This window comes from Homo sapiens, chromosome 11 (genome assembly GCF_000001405.40).
Source record: "Homo sapiens chromosome 11, GRCh38.p14 Primary Assembly".
Classification (NCBI taxonomy): domain Eukaryota; kingdom Metazoa; phylum Chordata; class Mammalia; order Primates; family Hominidae; genus Homo; species Homo sapiens.
The window spans coordinates 124218136-124235364 of NC_000011.10; the positions used below are offsets into that span (position 1 = coordinate 124218136).

Consider the following 17229-nt stretch of genomic DNA (forward strand, 5'->3'; position numbering starts at 1 on the left):
GCAAATGACAAAATCTTATTCTTTTTTATGGTTGAATAGTACTTCGTTGTGTATATGTACCACATTTTCTTTATCCATTTGTCTGCTAATGGACACGTAGGTTGCTTCCAAATCTTGGCTATTGTGAATCGTGCTGCAGTAAACATAGAAGTGCAGATGTCTCTTCAACATACTGATTTCCTTTCTTTGGGGTGTATACTACGAGTGGGATTGCTGGATTGTAAGGTAGCTCTACTTTCAGTGTTTTGAGGAACCTCCAAACTATTCTGCCTAAAGATTGTGCTAATTTACATTCCCACCAAGAGTGTACAAGGGTATCCTTTTCTCTACATCTTCATCAGCATTTGTTAAGCCTGTCTTTTGGATAAAAGCCATTTTAACTGGGGTGAGATGATATCTCATTATAGTTTTGATTGGTGTTTCTCTGATGATCAGTGATGTTGAGCATCTTTTCATATGCCTGTTTGCCATTTGTATATCTTCTTGTGAGAAATGTCTATTCAAATCTTTTGCCCATTTTTAGTTGGATTATGAGTTTTTTTTCCTATAGAGTTGTTTGAGCTCCTTATACACTCTAGTTATTAATCCACTATCAGATGAGTAGTTCGCAAATATTTTCTCCCATTCTATGGATTTTCTCTTCACTTTGTTGATTGTCTTCTGCTGTGAAGAAGCTTTTTAACTTGATGTGATTCCATTTGTCCATTTTTGCTTTGGCCTGTGCTTGTGAGTATTACTCAAGAAATCTTTTCCCACTTCAATGTCCTGGAAAGTTTCTCCAATGTATTCTTGTAGTAGCTTCCTAGTTTGAGGTCTTAGATTTAAGCATTTAATCCATTTTAATTTGATTTTTGCATATGGTAAAACATAGGGGTCAAGTTTCATTCTTCTGCATGTTGATATTTAGTTTTCCCAGCACCATTTCCTGAAAAGAATGTCCTTTAGTTCCAATGTATCTTCTTGTCACCTTTGTAGAAAATGAGTTCACTACAGATGTACAAATTTATTTCAGGTCTATCTGAATGTTTTATTCCAATACCATGTTTAAATCAGTCTCTCAGTGATTCTCATTATTGTATAATTACTTATGAAAAGGCCTATTGATAGCATTCCCATTTATCATCTCAACCAAGCTTCAACTATTTCTCACTCCTATTATTTATCATGTTGATGTAATAGTTAGTCATAGTCTGCTCTCCTGTGAAGTGGTGATCCAAATACATCATAATTTGTTATAGACATCTCAGAATCCTGCAGGCATTGTAATTCTAAAGCTAAATAGAAGCTCTCTGATACATGATATGAAAGAACTTGCTGCACTCTGAAAAAATTTTTGTGGGAAGGATTTAATATGAGATATCATGGAACACCTCAATTCACAGAGTGGTCCATACACCAGCAGCATTGGCAAAACTTGACAGATGCTTAAAAGTGCAAATCTGAAGCTATGTATCAAACTTACCAAATCAGAATCTGCATTTGAAGAGGATCCCCAGTGTGATAAGCTTTTAAGAAATGCCGGTATCTGACTTCAGATCCCAAGATTTTGAAGTGATATGCGGAGGACATCTAATATTGTATTTTAAAAATCCCTTGGTTTTAAATATGCAGTAATAATTGAGAAAGATGAATATAGTCCAATCATCGACTTCTTTAAGTAGAATTGAACCTAATGTATTTATCTCTACTTTGATATGAGTGTCCAAATTTACCTTGATTTATTCTGTGAAGACTGCATCCAATTATTCCTATGTTAGAGAAAAACAGGAAAAATATATAAGAAATAAGAAGGAACATGGAACATAGGAAGCTAAAAATAAAATATCTAAATATTCGAATTAATGCAGGAAAAATATTATTAAGGGATCTTAAAAAAGTTAAGTACTATATCAATATTATGAATTCCTACCCCATATCTCTTAAAATCCAAGTATATATAGATTTTACTTTTGAATCAAGTATATACCTGTTTATACATAAAATAAATTAAACATTTTTGCACAAGGAAATAGGTGGCTTAATTGGTTATGTAGTATTATCTAGTCCTATTAGCAGTAAGATAACTTGTCAGGATATGCCTGGTGCTCTGAAACCTGCTCATTATAGTGTAGGCTGTGAACCAATAGCACTGGCTATAAGAAGTGAAGAATCTCAGACCCCACTCAGACCTGCAGGATCAGTGTCTATATGTTAACAAAATGCTCAGGTAATCCCTGCACACAAAACTTTATCACTAATTGATAAGTTTAGGATTGACAGATAATCTCACTTGAGGAAAAAAAAAAAGGCCACTAGAGAGTCAACTGTAATTGCTTCTTTTCTCAAGAGCTAGCTTCCCTGAGAAATGGAAATCTCTGTGGAATATTTGTTCCATGTTATTTGGTACCTGATGTGTTTAAACCAAGGACATAGCTTTATAGCACAGCCATCAGAACTGCTCCGGCGACTGTCAAAGGCAAGGATATTTGCTTCTCTGGTGCTGCAGAAAAAAATGAAAGGTTACAATTGTGGATGCTGATTTGTGATGTAGACCAGCTTCTGAGGCCAGACTGAGGGATGTGCCCTGCCCTCTTTCTCAGCACAAAAGATAGTAGAAACACCCAACACCAGCATTAGTGCCATTCTTTTCCAAGTCAAAGAGAGTAAGTTGCAGGTAAAATTTGGCATTGCATTTCTCAAGCAGAGGTAAGGTGACTGCGGTCATCTCACACTTGTGATTTAAAACTATTAGGCCTGAAGTAATTGTTGTCAAAATTCAAAGATCCCTCTAAAAACATTCATTCATTCTTTCATTCACTCATAAAATATTTTTAAGCACCTTTGATGTGTCAGATGCTGGTTACTTGGGTTAAAGAAGAGGAGAAGTTTAAGTTAGTCTTACATCTGTCTTATAGTTTAGCTCACAGTGTACAATTGCATTGTGTTAGAAATAATAGGTTGCTTTCTAAGCTTGTGTTAGGAAGGTCAATCTATTCCAGTGAGTTGCAGATGTCTTCCTGATGGTGTAATTTTTAAATGAGACTTGGAAGAAATACAATTTCACCAGGCAATTGAGGGATAGGATTTAGTAAGACTATTTCATCTGAAAGGAAGCACAAATAAATGTTCAGATAGCTAAGAAAATATGACATATTCCAGAAATGGAAAGGAACCAAATGTGAACTAGGTCTGGAGAATTGCAAGAGGTAGCATAGATTGTCATACTTTATTCTTTTTTTTTTATTTTTGAGACTGAGTCTCGCTCTGTCACCCAGGCTGGAGTGCAGTGGCGCTATCTCGGCTCACTGCAATCTCCACCTCCCGGGTTCAAGCGATTCTCTTGCCTCAGCCAGTTCAGCAACTGAGATTACAGGCGTGCACCACCACACTCAGCTACTGTTTTGTATTTTTAGTAGTGAGGGGTTTCACTATGTTGGCTAGGCTGGTCTTAAACTCCTGGCCTTAAGTGATCCACCTGCCTCGGCCTCCCAAAGTGCTGGGATTACAGGCATGAGCCACCATGCCTGGCAGCTATATGTGCTTTTTAGGCAGCTCCAAGAACTTACTGCCTATGCCTAGTTTGCTAAGAGGCTTTTTATTTATTATTACTTTTGGATATTTTCTATGTGCTTTTTCTGTATTTTAGAAGAAAATCTGTAAGATTGGTGTTATTACATTCTTAAATGTGAAGAACAGTGAAAATGTCTGGGAAAATATTGTGCCTTGCTTTATGAACCAGCATATAAATAATTCTGTAAAGGTTCCATGTGACCTTAAAAAGAATTTGTGTCATTAGTTGTTGCATGCCGTAAGATCGTGTGTGTGTGTATGTGTATACAGCTATACATACATATGATTATCTTCAAATTTATGACTCTCATTCAGACCTCCTTTATCTTTGCCGATTATTAGGGTTTTTATTTTGAAAATAATTTTATTAATTTATTATATTTAATACTTTATAAGAGTATATCAAAATGTAATTTTATCTAGATTACATTAAGGATAAAAGTACCCATTTTAAGTGTAAAACTCCTAAATGAGTTTTGACAGATGCATACACTATAAACTGGTGAAATCAACACTTCCTTATTGAAACATTTTTATCATCCCTGAAGATTTCCCGTGCTCCTTTCTAGTCATTCTACAGTAGCTACTGACCTCATTTCTATCACCATAAAATTAGTTCTGCTGTTCTACAAGTTCGTATGAACGGAATTGTACAATATGTGCTCTTTTTTGTCTGGCTTTTTGCTTAACATGATGTTTTGAAGATTAATCCATATTGTTGCATATATCTGTGATTTATTCCTTGTTATTGATGAGTAGTGTTCTATTCTATGCAAATCCCACAATTCATTCATTTATTCAATGGTTATTGAATAAATGAATGAATATTTGGGTTGTTTCCAGTTTGGAGTTGTTAGTAACAAGGCTTCCAGGTACATGTTTGTACATGTCATTGTGTAGATACATGTTTACATTTCTCTTGAGTAAACCCTGAATAGCAGAATTGTTGGGTTATAATCTAAGTATATGATTAACTTTCTAAGATATTGCCAAGCAGTTTTCCGAAGTAGTTGTACGGTTTTACACCTCTCCTCACCAGCTATGTGTGAGAGCTTGAGTTATCCCATATCCTTGGCAAACTTTGGAACTGTAAGTTTTTGTTTATTTTGTTTTTTCTTTCTTTTATAATTTTTAGCCATTTCCATGTGGCTGTGTAGTGGTATGTAATTTTCCTGATGAATAATGAATTTGGTATCTTTTTACGTGCTTATCAACTATTTACATATCTTCTGTCATATATCATCTATACAAATACTTTTCTTATATTTTAATTTGGTCTATTGTCTTTGTATCATTGACATGTTGATATTATTTGTATATATTTACATAAAAGGCCATAGTCAGATATACGTATTTTTTGTGGCTTACTCTTAATTTTCTTTTTTTAACTTTTATTTTAAGTTTAGAGGTATATGTGCAGGTTTGTTACATAGGTAAACTGTGTCAGGGGAGTTTGTTGTACAGATTATTTTATCACCCAGGTATTAAACCCAGTACCCGTGAGTTACTTTTCCTGATCTTTTCCCTCCTCCCACCTTCCACTGGCTCTGATAGGCCCCAGTGTGTGTTGTCCCCCTCTATGTGTCCAAGTGGTCATGTGTTCAAATCATTTAGCTCCCACTTAGAAGTGAGAACATATGGTATTTGGTTTTCTGTTCCTGTGTCGGTTTGCTAAGGATAATACATTCATGTCCCTGCAATGGACATAATCTTGTGCTTTTTTAATGGTACCTTTGGAGATGTGCTTTTAATTAGGATAAAAAAGGATTTATCAATGTTATATGGCTAATTCATGTGTGCATATATGTCCTAAGGAATCTAATTGGATTACTCCACTATATTGAAATTTTCCTCTAGTGTTTTTTCCTAAAGTTTAATAGTTTATTGTTTATGCTTAAATTTAAGATTTATTTCAATATTCTTGTTTGCATGGGTGTGAGATAGAAGATTTTAGATTTTCTGTTTCTACTTTATTTAAAATTCAAGTATGACTTATTTGGAATTTTACATTAATGTATCAAATGACAAAATCTTTTGTTTAGTGCATAACAGAGGCTACATTTATATATTTCCTAATTTTATAACTCCATCTTTGGCACACTCCTAATTAAAGAAAGAGGAAAGAGATTAATGAAAATGTGTGAACATCATGTTTACTATTTTTGTATTTTGAAGTATATAAATATCCCTCATTTTCCAATTGATGGATGGTGGAACAACAACGAAAACAATTATTGTTGTCATTTTCAGAGTGCTAAATATCTGCTAATTAGATGATGATGTTAATTTAATTGTCCACACTTATCAACTGGTAAATGAGAGGATCAGAATATGAACACAGGCACTTTGATATTAAGGATTTTTTATTTAGCCGCTACTCCCACTGTTTTCCTCCAACAAAGGCAGAGGTGTAATATTTGGTCCAAGAGCCATAACACTGCTGCAGTGGGACAATTCCACTGGTAGATCTGTATCATGAATCTTGTTGGTGCCATTTCATTTTAATAATAATACTGAAAATCTGATAATTTTTAATAGAAACCTAAATTGCCTGATTATCATTAAAATCCTCCAAAGATGTAGCCATAATGCACCTCTGTTACCCTTGGCAGAACTTCTCTGCTCGTTAATAAAGGACACCGTACTGAATGCAGGTCTGCTCTCTCCCAGTGGCAGCTCAGCCAGCTTCCATCATTTTCATTAGCCCTTGTAAGTTTTTAAGTGTGCGAAAAACAGCTCAGAAAAGTTGACTTGAAATCTTTGGAATGTTCAACCCAGAGAGTAGCAATTAAAATTCTTAAATGATAATAATTATGGCTGAAATATTTTATATAAAAAACAACTATTTGATATTAAGCTATAAAATATTTAATTAATAAAAATATTACTTAGCTAATTTACCCAGAGTTAAATTATTATATATAAACCAAAGTCATCTAAATCATGAATCCTCAGCATGGGATACCCTCCTCCAAAAGTAGAATAGCAACTCAATCCCTACAAACACCATGGTTTTTCTTTCCTCCGTAGAAACTGACCAAAGGAAAATGTCAGCAGGAAACCATTCCTCAGTGACTGAGTTCATTCTGGCTGGGCTCTCAGAACAGCCAGAGCTCCAGCTGCGCCTCTTCCTCCTGTTCTTAGGAATCTATGTGGTCACAGTGGTGGGCAACTTGAGCATGATCACACTGATTGGGCTCAGTTCTCACCTGCATACCCCCATGTACTATTTCCTCAGTGGTCTGTCCTTCATTGATCTCTGCCATTCCACTATCATTACCCCCAAAATGCTGGTGAACTTTGTGACAGAGAAGAACATCATCTCCTACCCTGAATGCATGACTCAGCTTTACTTCTTCCTCATTTTTGCTATTGCAGAGTGTCACATGTTGGCTGTAACGGCATATGACCGCTATGTTGCCATCTGCAGCCCCTTGCTGTACAATGTCATCATGTCCTATCACCACTGCTTCTGGCTCACAGTGGGAGTTTACGTTTTAGGCATCCTTGGATCTACAATTCACACCGGCTTTATGTTGAGACTCTTTTTGTGCAAGACTAATGTGATTAACCATTATTTTTGTGATCTCTTCCCTCTCTTGGGGCTCTCCTGCTCCAGCACCTACATCAATGAATTACTGGTTCTGGTCTTGAGTGCATTTAACATCCTGACGCCTGCCTTAACCATCCTTGCTTCTTACATCTTTATCATTGCCAGCATCCTCCGCATTCGCTCCACTGAGGGCAGGTCCAAAGCCTTCAGCACTTGCAGCTCCCACATCTTGGCTGTTGCTGTTTTCTTTGGGTCTGCAGCATTCATGTACCTGCAGCCATCATCTGTCAGCTCCATGGACCAGAGGAAAGTGTCCTCTGTGTTTTATACTACTATTGTGCCCATGCTGAACCCCCAATCTATAGCCTAAGAAATAAGGATGTCAAATTTGCCCTGAAGAAAAATCTGGACAGCAAAGCATGTTCATGAATCCAATTATTGCCATGTTGTCATATCAAAACAGGCTTTCAGTTTGATTAGATATGTAATATGTTAGATTTATTGTGCAAATTTATCAAAATATAGTGATGCTCTTTTATGTAACACACCTCCAAAATATTCCTTCAGTCTACTTCCATTGAACGTATATTCCAATGAGTATGTGTGGAGAAATACTAAAAATAAAATCAAAACTCTTGAGGTTTAAAGAAGCCATATTTTTATCATTTCATTAATAATAAAAATAACAATGCGCACAACAATGATAATCACAATAAGATGATAATGAAGATGCTAGTAGTGGCATATATCATTCAGATGTGATGAAATAGCAAGCACTGTGTCCTAACATTTAAGTGGATAATTTTATTTAATATTTACAGTATTCCTTCAGGGGAAGCTGTAGTATTATTTCCCAATAAGTAAATAAGGCTTATTTTTTGAGTGAATGCTCAGAGCCCCAAACCTAAGAAGTCATTGAGAGTAGAAAGTTTGGCTTAAGGACTTGTGATACTATTCAAAGTGATACTTGGTCCAGCTACTTGTGGATAGGTGTAAGGACTCCTGAGAAATCCCTTCCAAACATCAAGCTTCCCCAGTTCCCAACATGACTGCATCGCTGTCCTCTGGATAGCTCCAGGATAATTTACTTTTGTTTCATTTGCTATAATAAACATAATCAAAGTCTTCCAAATTTGTATTGATCAATGAAAAATAGATCAAAACCAGAAAATTATTATGGTTTTATTATAGACATACACTATAGATATTTATAATATTATTATACTTGATAGCAACAATTTTGTATAAAAACAACCCACACAACATTGCCTCATCTTTATGTCAGTAATGCTTTGGCTGTTTATGAGGCAACTCATGACAGCCGTAAATTCTTCTAAGTTGCATTGTTTCCATGTGGTTCATACTTTTTTGCCTTATAATTTACAAACCATTGTCATTTTATATCAATTTTCTTTAAAAAAATCTTCTTGGCCCCCAGGTTATTATCTTTCTGCTTCTCAGAATTTAACATCTTGTAAGTGTGAATTTCCATGATATTCTAAATAATTGCCTTGTGTCTCTCCCCAGTTCAAACTTTCCTACTCATTGTTGGCAGGTCAATAGTCTTTGGATGCTGTTTTGCATTATTCAGCTGATATAAGAAGTTTCAATGTTGACTATATAGTTTCTAAGTATAGGACAAACCTATATATTTTTATCTCCCTTGTATTCCGTTATTCATTGCAATCAGATATTCATTCTCAGAGTTCCTCTCACATTATTTCCCTCAATTTTCATCATTTATATAATGTAAGGGAAGTTGGCCACAATTACAACTCTTGTGTTAGGCATGATTCTGAGTCCAGTGCTCTGTCCAACACATTGTCATATATGCAAATAAGTGAAATGGGGACCAACAAAAAGCGTGCTGTTGCATAGACCTTTGAATCACTGGGGCTTGAGCTCATATAGAAAATACAGACTAATTAAAAGGTGGCAGTCTCATTAAGGAAATGGCAGAAGCTTGTGCAGCCCCAGAAGGGATGTCATATTCAGGGTAATACAATCATGCTACAAGGATAGAGAGGAGGCAGAAACAGTTCATGAACCAACCCTGATCATTATAAGACATCACTCCTCATTTTAGTGTGGGGAACTGCTAGAAGTTTTTAAGCAGGAAAGTGAACACAATTAGTTTTGCATGCTAATAATGTCACATATGTCAATATGGAAGACAGATGGACGTGAATGAAAAACTTATGCTACTGAGGAAATGCCAAACGTAACTGCGTCTTTTCTCAAAAACTTATTTCTCTGAGAAATTGAAATCTTGAGGGTATTTGTCTCTATGTTGTCATATCTAAATCTAAGATATATCTTTATAGCACATCCATCAGACCATCATAACTGTCAAAGGTGAGGATATTTGCTACCCTGATGCTGGAGAAACCTAACTTGAAAAGTTACAATTGTGGAGGCTGACCTGTGATGCAGACCAACTTCAAATGTGGTTCTGAGACTAGACAAAGGGTTGTGCCCTGCCCTCTCAGCATTAAAGATAGCAGAATACTGAGTACATACAACTCTCAACACCAACACTAGTGTAATTGTTCTCCAAATTGAAGAGAATAAGTTATGAGTAAAATTTGGCATTGCAGTTTTCAAGCAGAGGAAAGGTGACTGTGGTGTTCTGCTCACACTTGTGATTTGAGACTATTAGGTCTGGAGGTAATTGCTGTAAAAATCCAGTTAAACATCCTGCTTTATACATTCATTCATTCATAAAATATTTTAAAGTGCCTTTGATGTTCCAGACACTGTACTCTTACTTTGGATAAAGAGGAAGATAAGTTTGAGTTGGTCTGTCTTCTGGCTTATAGTACAGCTCACAGTCTCAAGTTGTACTGTTAGAAATGATAGGTGGTGTAGCCTAGGTGACGTGGCGAAACTGCATCTCTACAAAAAAAAAAAAAAAAAGAAAAAGAAAATAACGGGACATGGTGGTGCACATCTGTAGTCCCAGCTACTCAGGAAGTTGAGGTGGAAGGGTAGATTTAGCCAGGTTCAACCAGGGCGAGGCTGCAATGAAGCATGATCACACCACTGCCCTGCTCTAACCTGGGCAACTGAGTGAGACCAAGTCGGAAGGAAGGAAGGAAGGCAGGCAGGCAGGCAGGCAGGCAGGCAGGCAGGCGAGCGGGCGGGCAAGGGCGAGGGCGAGGAGGAAAGCTTGTATTCAGAAGGTCTAATCTATCCCAACAAATTGGAAATGTTTTTCCGATGGTGTAATTTTTAAATGACACTTAGAAGAAATAAAATTTCACCAGGCAATTGAGGGATAGGATTTAGTAAGACTATTTAACCTGAAAGAAAGCATAAATAAAGATTCAGATTTCTAAGATGATATGGTATATTCCAGAAACTGGAAGGAAGCAGATGTGAACTAGGTCTGGAGAATAGAAAGAGGTAGTAGGTATATTCATTCTTTATCTTAAAAACAGTGAAGAAGATCCGTTTTTTCAGTGTCCCCAAAAGTAGATTTTCCTCTGTTTTATAGATGAGTGTATTGTATGATTTAGGAAAAGTACCTAGTTCCATTTTTAAGAACTCAAATTGTTAGAACCTTTCCCTCATATCTAGTAAAAGACACAGCCTTCAATATTCCAAACACCGCATATGAAAGAAGTTTTCTTCCCTTTTGATTCCCTTTTGATATAAGACAACGCACGCTAATTATCCTATTACCTTTGAATATTTCCAAGTTATTCACAGCTTCTGTGTCCCTTTCATTTTGTCTATGTCCCTCCTTACAAAGGACATTAATAATAAAAACAAAACTTTAAATATAATGTAAGTGTAGCAGAGTGCTTCCCAGCTTCATTGCACACATAGAAAATGGTAATATTTCTGTGGCACAAGAACTTAGCACAGTTATGTTCCACTCACGGTATTCCAGTTCCATAGAACTCATGTCAGGAAGACTTGAGTCTCCCTGTTATGGACTTCCTGTTACTTACGGACTCCCTATTATTTACGGAGTCTTCGTGTTATGGACTTGTTATGGCTTTTATGTGGATTATTGCCCATCATATTCTAGATAATATATTCATATAATTGCAATCTAAAACAAACCAATTTATTAACCAACCATTTACTTTATTGGCTTAATGAGTTAACGAAAAACTCAGCCCTGTTTTTTTCATGTGAGTTGCACCCAAAACATATACAGTATGCAAAAAAATTGTTTTTTTAAAGTAAATTTAGAATTTAAATCTTTGCACTGCTAAATTTCAACTTATTTGTTTTAGCTGTTTTGGGCCTGGATCTACTTGCCCAGTAGGTGTAGTCTTTTTGGGCCCAGATTACAGTAACATGAGAGGTTTTGTTGGCCACTTGGTGTGCAACATACTTACCATGGGGGATTAGCAATCTCCAAGTGCAAGCTTAAATGAGCAAAGGAAAATTTCACAAAGAATTGAAGTCTCAACTGCTTATTTCTAGTTGTATTCACAAGTATTATCTTTACAATTAAGGTAAGAAAAAACAGAAGAAAGAAAGACAGGAAGAGATGAATCAAGAAAAGTAAGGAAAGAAGGTAGGGAGGAAGGAAAGGATAGAAGGAAGAAAATGAAGACTAGAAGAGAAAAGATAGAGGTTCTCAAGCTCTTCACTTGAAGCAGGCAACTACTTTGACTTTGGTTTCTTAATCCTATCATTCCCACAGTTAGCTATTCATCACAATTAGTTGATACTTTGTTTTCTTGCTTTAAATTATTTTGACTTTTGAACATTTAGATCTTTAAAATGATCTAATCACTAGTTCTGTTCTTGGATTAAGAAGTCTGTATTGGGAATTTCTCTAGATGAGTTGAGAAAACTTTGAAAATTGATGAATAAATAGTTTTGAGAATATTTTTACATTTCCAGAAGCAAGTGAAAGAGGAATGAAAATGAAATACAAGATAAATATTGGAAGAGAGGGTAGGTGGTGGTAATGATTTAACTAAAGTAACTCCACATATATTAGAAAGTCGAGTTAATGTTCAAAGTTGATAATTCTGAAAAAAAGCAATATGAGGAAATTATGTAGAGGTATGGGGGTAGCCTTCAGAAGAACTAGAAACAGAAGCTCTTTGTTGGAGCTGTTCTATAGAGAGAAAGCTGTCTTTGGGGAATAGGACTAAGAGCATAGGGAAGGTAACACAGGAATTTTGGGGGTTTGTTATAATTATGGTAAGAGTTTTACATTCATTTTTGTACATACTATTATCTCCCTAGATGATGCTGATTATCAGCCATATCTGGAAATCTTTGAGTTAATTAACCCTCTGTGTTCAAGTATGTTCTTTTACATCTGACTGTAAAGCAACTAGCCCACATAACTATAGCTTATCCACAAACATGTTATGAGAGCCTGTGCCACTTGCCTGTATAATTTGAAGATGAGCTGTACCTATGCCATATCCATCTTAAGTAACTTAAACATTGGCTTTGACATAAAATTCCTTTGAGTTCAGACAAACTGAATTCAGAAAGGAAGGCATTTACTGATTCCATATGTGGATGTTAAGTTGGTTCAGATATAAGGAGTAAGGAATATACAGCATAAAAGCTCATCCTTCACAGGCTATTTAGATTGATAGTCTATTACAAGTTTCATTTATTGAAACACTGGTCTAGTCACTTCATGATGGGGTCACCATTGTCATAAATCAGATATCTGGATATGTATATAAATCTGGTTTTGAATTCTAAATTTTGCTCTACTAATCTATCCTTACACCAATAAGACACCATCTTGTCTTATAATGTGCCAATAACATATGATAGCGTGATTTATACAGCTTTGTTTTTCAAGGTTGTTGTGGATATTTTGGGCTATATGCATTTCCATGTGAAATTTATGGCAATCCACTAAAAATTCTACAAAATTTCGATTTGGATCACATTGAATGTATAGATGAATATGGGAAGACTTGATATCTTCATAGTATTGAGTCTTCTAATTCACGAACATGGTAAATATCTCCTATTATTAAGATTTTCTTACATTTTTTAATAATTTATAGTTTTCAATATACAGACATAATACAATTTGGTGTATTTATTTCTAGGTATTTGATTCCAAATTATTGCTATTTTAAGTGACGTGATTTTTAAAAAATCTTTTATTTGTATTTGTTGCATCTTAAAAAGATATATTTTAATATGAAGACATAGAAATGTTCAAAAGCAAAGAATTGAAAGTGATATGCTATGCAAGCACTAACCAAGTAAAAATGGCTTTGATATTCTAATAATAGGCATAGAAACTTAAAGCATGATGCATTACTATATATTAGGGAAACATTCCATAATGATATATGGTTCAGTCCAAGATTACCTAAAACAAAGATCTCAGAACCCTAAATTTCTATATGACCCAAAGCTATATAGAAATATATATATACGGCCCCAAAATTTTGTAAAAATTATGAAATATATTTAGAAATAGACAAATCAAATATTTGTGGGATACTTTAATATATATTCCTCCGTCAATAACTCTTTTTTTTTTTTTGAGACGGAATCTCGCCCTGTCACCCAGGCACGATCTCGGCTCACTGTAAGCTCCGCCTCCCAGGTTGACGCCATTCTCCTGCATCAGCCTCCCGAGTAACTGGAACTACAGGTGCCCGCCACCACGCCCGGCTAATTTTTTGTATTTTTAGTAGAGACGGGGTTTCACTGTGTTAGCCAGGATGGTCTCGATCTCCTGACCTCGTGATCCACCTGCCTCGGATTTCCAAAGTGCTGGGATTACAGGCATGAGCCACCACACTCGGCCTGTCAATAACTCTTCAAACAGAAGACCAAAAATAAAACCACTATGGATGTAAAATATGAAAACCACAATAATGAATTACATGTAACTCACATATATAGACCAAACAACTCTGAAAGAGCAAAAAACATTTTTTCAAATGCATTTGAAACATTCACAAAAATGGATCATATATTGTAAGATTTATAAAACTACAACAACTTTCAAAAAGTAAATAATATGTGTTTATTGACCACAATAAAATTAAAATATTTTTGAAGCCTAATTTTCTACAACTTAATAACGTATTTTTTCAAATATATAACATTTATATATTAAAATATAAAAATAATACATTTAAAATACATTTTAAATATAGGACAAAAATAATTGAAAAAATACTTAAACTAAATTATAGTTACAATTTAAAACATTAAAACATGTAAGATGCAGCTAAAGAGGTGCCTTTGAGGAAATCTATACCTTATATGTATATGTTCAAAAAAGAAGGATGATTGGGATAATCATTTAAGCTTTATTTAAAGAATTTAGGAAAAAGGAAAGCAAACCAAAAAATCTATAAAGAAAATGAAATAATAAAATTGTTAAGAATAGTTTAAATATAAAATATACACAAAATTCATAAAATCAATGTAACGTAAAATTTTTAATAAAATTTATTAATAAAACTACTAACATGAATAATCAAGAGAAAAAATAAACTATAAATATCTGATTTCTGGAATAAAGAAATAGAAAAGATTGCATACCCCACAAATATTTTAAAAAGTGAAAAAAATAGTATGAAAACCATTTAGTAATTTTCAAAATGGGTAAATGTCTTGAAGTATCAGTTTAAAAGAGTTGAAAAGAAAGACAAAATCTGAATAATTGATAGCTATTTAAGAAATTTAATCTGTTACTTGAAATCTAAACAAAAAGAATGTCAAAGATCTACATCACTTCACTAGTGAATACTTCCAAACATTTAAGGTAATTTTTATGCCAACTATTCCAGATTTAGAAAGAGAATATCTTCTAATCTTTTACAAATTCAGTTTTTAAAAAAATTACAAGAATGGAAAATTATGTATTACCTTTTTTTGTGAATATAGAAAATAAATACTCTGGCATATAAGTAATTCTGTAAAGGTTTCATATGGTCTCAAAAAGTATAATATCTAGTTGTTGACTGATGTGAGATGATAAGTATATATAGGTAGGTAGATATTCACATTTATGAATCTTGCTCAAGTATTCTTTATCTTTGCTGATTTGTGTTATATACATTTTAAAATAAAGATTAATTATTAATTTCATATTTAATAGGGATTATATAAAGATATAAGTTTATCAAGATTACATCAAGAATGAAAGCATCCATTTAAAGTGTAAAAGTCATGTGTCAAACTAAATGAGTTTGACCAATGCATATACTATACACTGGTGAAACTAACACTTCATTACTGAAACATTTTCATCATCCCAAAGGTTCCCATGCCCCTTCCCAATCTCCTATATTCTTCTAGAGTCAGCCTCTGACCTTCTAGCACCACAGATTAATTGTGCTGTTCTACAGGTTTATATGAATGGTATTGCACAATGTGTACTCATGTCTTGTTCTGTTTGCTCAACATGACCTTTTCAAGAGTAATCCACATCATTGCATGTATCTGTGATTGATTCCTTGTTATTGATGAGTAGTGTTCCATTCTATGCATATACCATAATTCATTTATCTGTTCATTGATTGAATAATCGGGTTGTTTTCAGTTGGAGATGCTAGTAATAAAGTTTCTATGTACATAAATATTGAGGAATAGAATTGTTTGGTTATCTTCTATGTATAGAATTAATTTTCTCTCAAGTTGCCAAAGAGTTTTCAAAAGTGTTTGGACAATGTTATATCCCTTCTCACCAGCTAGGAATGAGAGCTCTAGTTGCTCCATGTCCTGGTCAAACATTAGTACTGTAAGTTTTTGTTTGATTGTTAGTTTGTGTTTTTCTCTTTATTTTTTCTTTTTTATATTTTAGTCATTTCAGCGTATGTGTGTGTGTACTGGTAGTTATTATGGGTTTAAGTTTCAATTCCCTGATAAATAATGATTTTAGTATCATTTTATGTGATTATTAACTACTTGTATGTTTTCTATGATATATCTGTTCAGATAGTTTTCTTATTTTTTAATTTATTATATTATCATCTGGTCAACATTATTTACAAATTTTAGATGATAGTACACAGTTGGACAAATGTATTGTCTGTGGCTTACTCTTAATTTTTTAATGGTGCCTTTTGAAGAGTATTTTTTAATTTGGATAAAATATAATTTATCAATATTGTATAGGTAGTTTGCTTGTATGAGGGTATTCTCTCAAGAAATCCTAGACACTCCAGTAATGAAGATCTTCTTCAGTGTTTTTTTTTTCCTCACAAGTTTAATAATTTAGTATTTATGCTTAGTTTTAAGATTTATTTCAAGTTTTTTTGATTATTTGTTTAGGTGTGAGTAGAACATTTTAGATTTTTTGATCCTCCTTTTTTAAATTCAGGTATAATATATTTGGAATTTTACTTTGACACATGAAGTGATTTTTAAAATCATGTGTTTACTGCTTGACATAATAAGGGACTGCATTTATAATTCATTATCCCTTATTTTATGACTGCCTTTCACACCCTCCTAGGTAGCGAATGAAAAAAGATGAAGGGAAGAGTTTAAACATTATGATTGTTGGTTCTGTATTTGCAAGTTTGTAATTGCCCCATAATTTCTAACTGATGATTGTTGTAAGTTACAACAATTATTACTGTTGTTATTTTCAGAGTGCTAAATATTACTAATTAGATGATGTTATTTTACTTGCCCAAGCTTATTAGCTAGTAAATCATGGGGGCAGAATATGAAAACAGGCACTTAGACTTTGAGTCTTGCTTAGTTAACACTATGTAAACATCTTTTCTCAAGCAAAGAAAAATCATCTGACCCAAGAGCCACAAACTCTCCAACGGTGGGACACTCCAGCTAGTAGCTCTGAACCGAGTACTTCTGGTGCTGTTTCATTTTAATAGCAGTTGTGAAATCTGAAGATTTCTGGAAAAATTCAAATTAGCTGATTATCATTTAAAAACTCCAAAGATGTTCCAGTAATGTGTCTCTGTGAACCTCGGTTGATCTTAGCTGCTAGTTAATAAAGGATACTGCATTGAATCTGGGGCTGCTCTTTCTGAGTGGCTGCTCAGCCAGCTTCCATCATTTTCACTGGCTTCTCTAAGTTTAAGCCTGTAAATATCACCTTAGAAAAACAGATGTTTTGCATTTCTCTGATGGCCAGTGATGGTGAGCATTTTTTCATGTGTTTTTTGGCTGCATAAATGTCTTCT

General features: G+C 34.2%; 1 long non-coding RNA gene and 1 pseudogene across 3 annotated transcripts in view; one reads left to right on the top strand and one right to left on the bottom strand.

The window, feature by feature from the left end:
• LOC102724410 (uncharacterized) overlaps positions 1-17229 on the bottom strand; it is a 23078-nt gene continuing 5849 nt past the window's right edge. The window contains exons 1-3 of one of the 2 annotated variants that reach the window (XR_948128.1): positions 9871-9993; positions 2387-2479; positions 1-1748 (exon numbers count right to left, since the gene is read on the bottom strand). This is a non-coding gene — a long non-coding RNA (uncharacterized LOC102724410). Of the gene's footprint in view, positions 1749-2386; positions 2480-9870; positions 9994-17229 lie in introns of those variants that run through there. The other variant, XR_007062931.1, reaches the window with a different exon arrangement.
• OR8G2P (olfactory receptor family 8 subfamily G member 2 pseudogene) lies at positions 6597-7472 on the top strand (annotated as a pseudogene). The gene has a single exon (NR_171169.1). The product of NR_171169.1 is annotated as an olfactory receptor family 8 subfamily G member 2 pseudogene (transcript).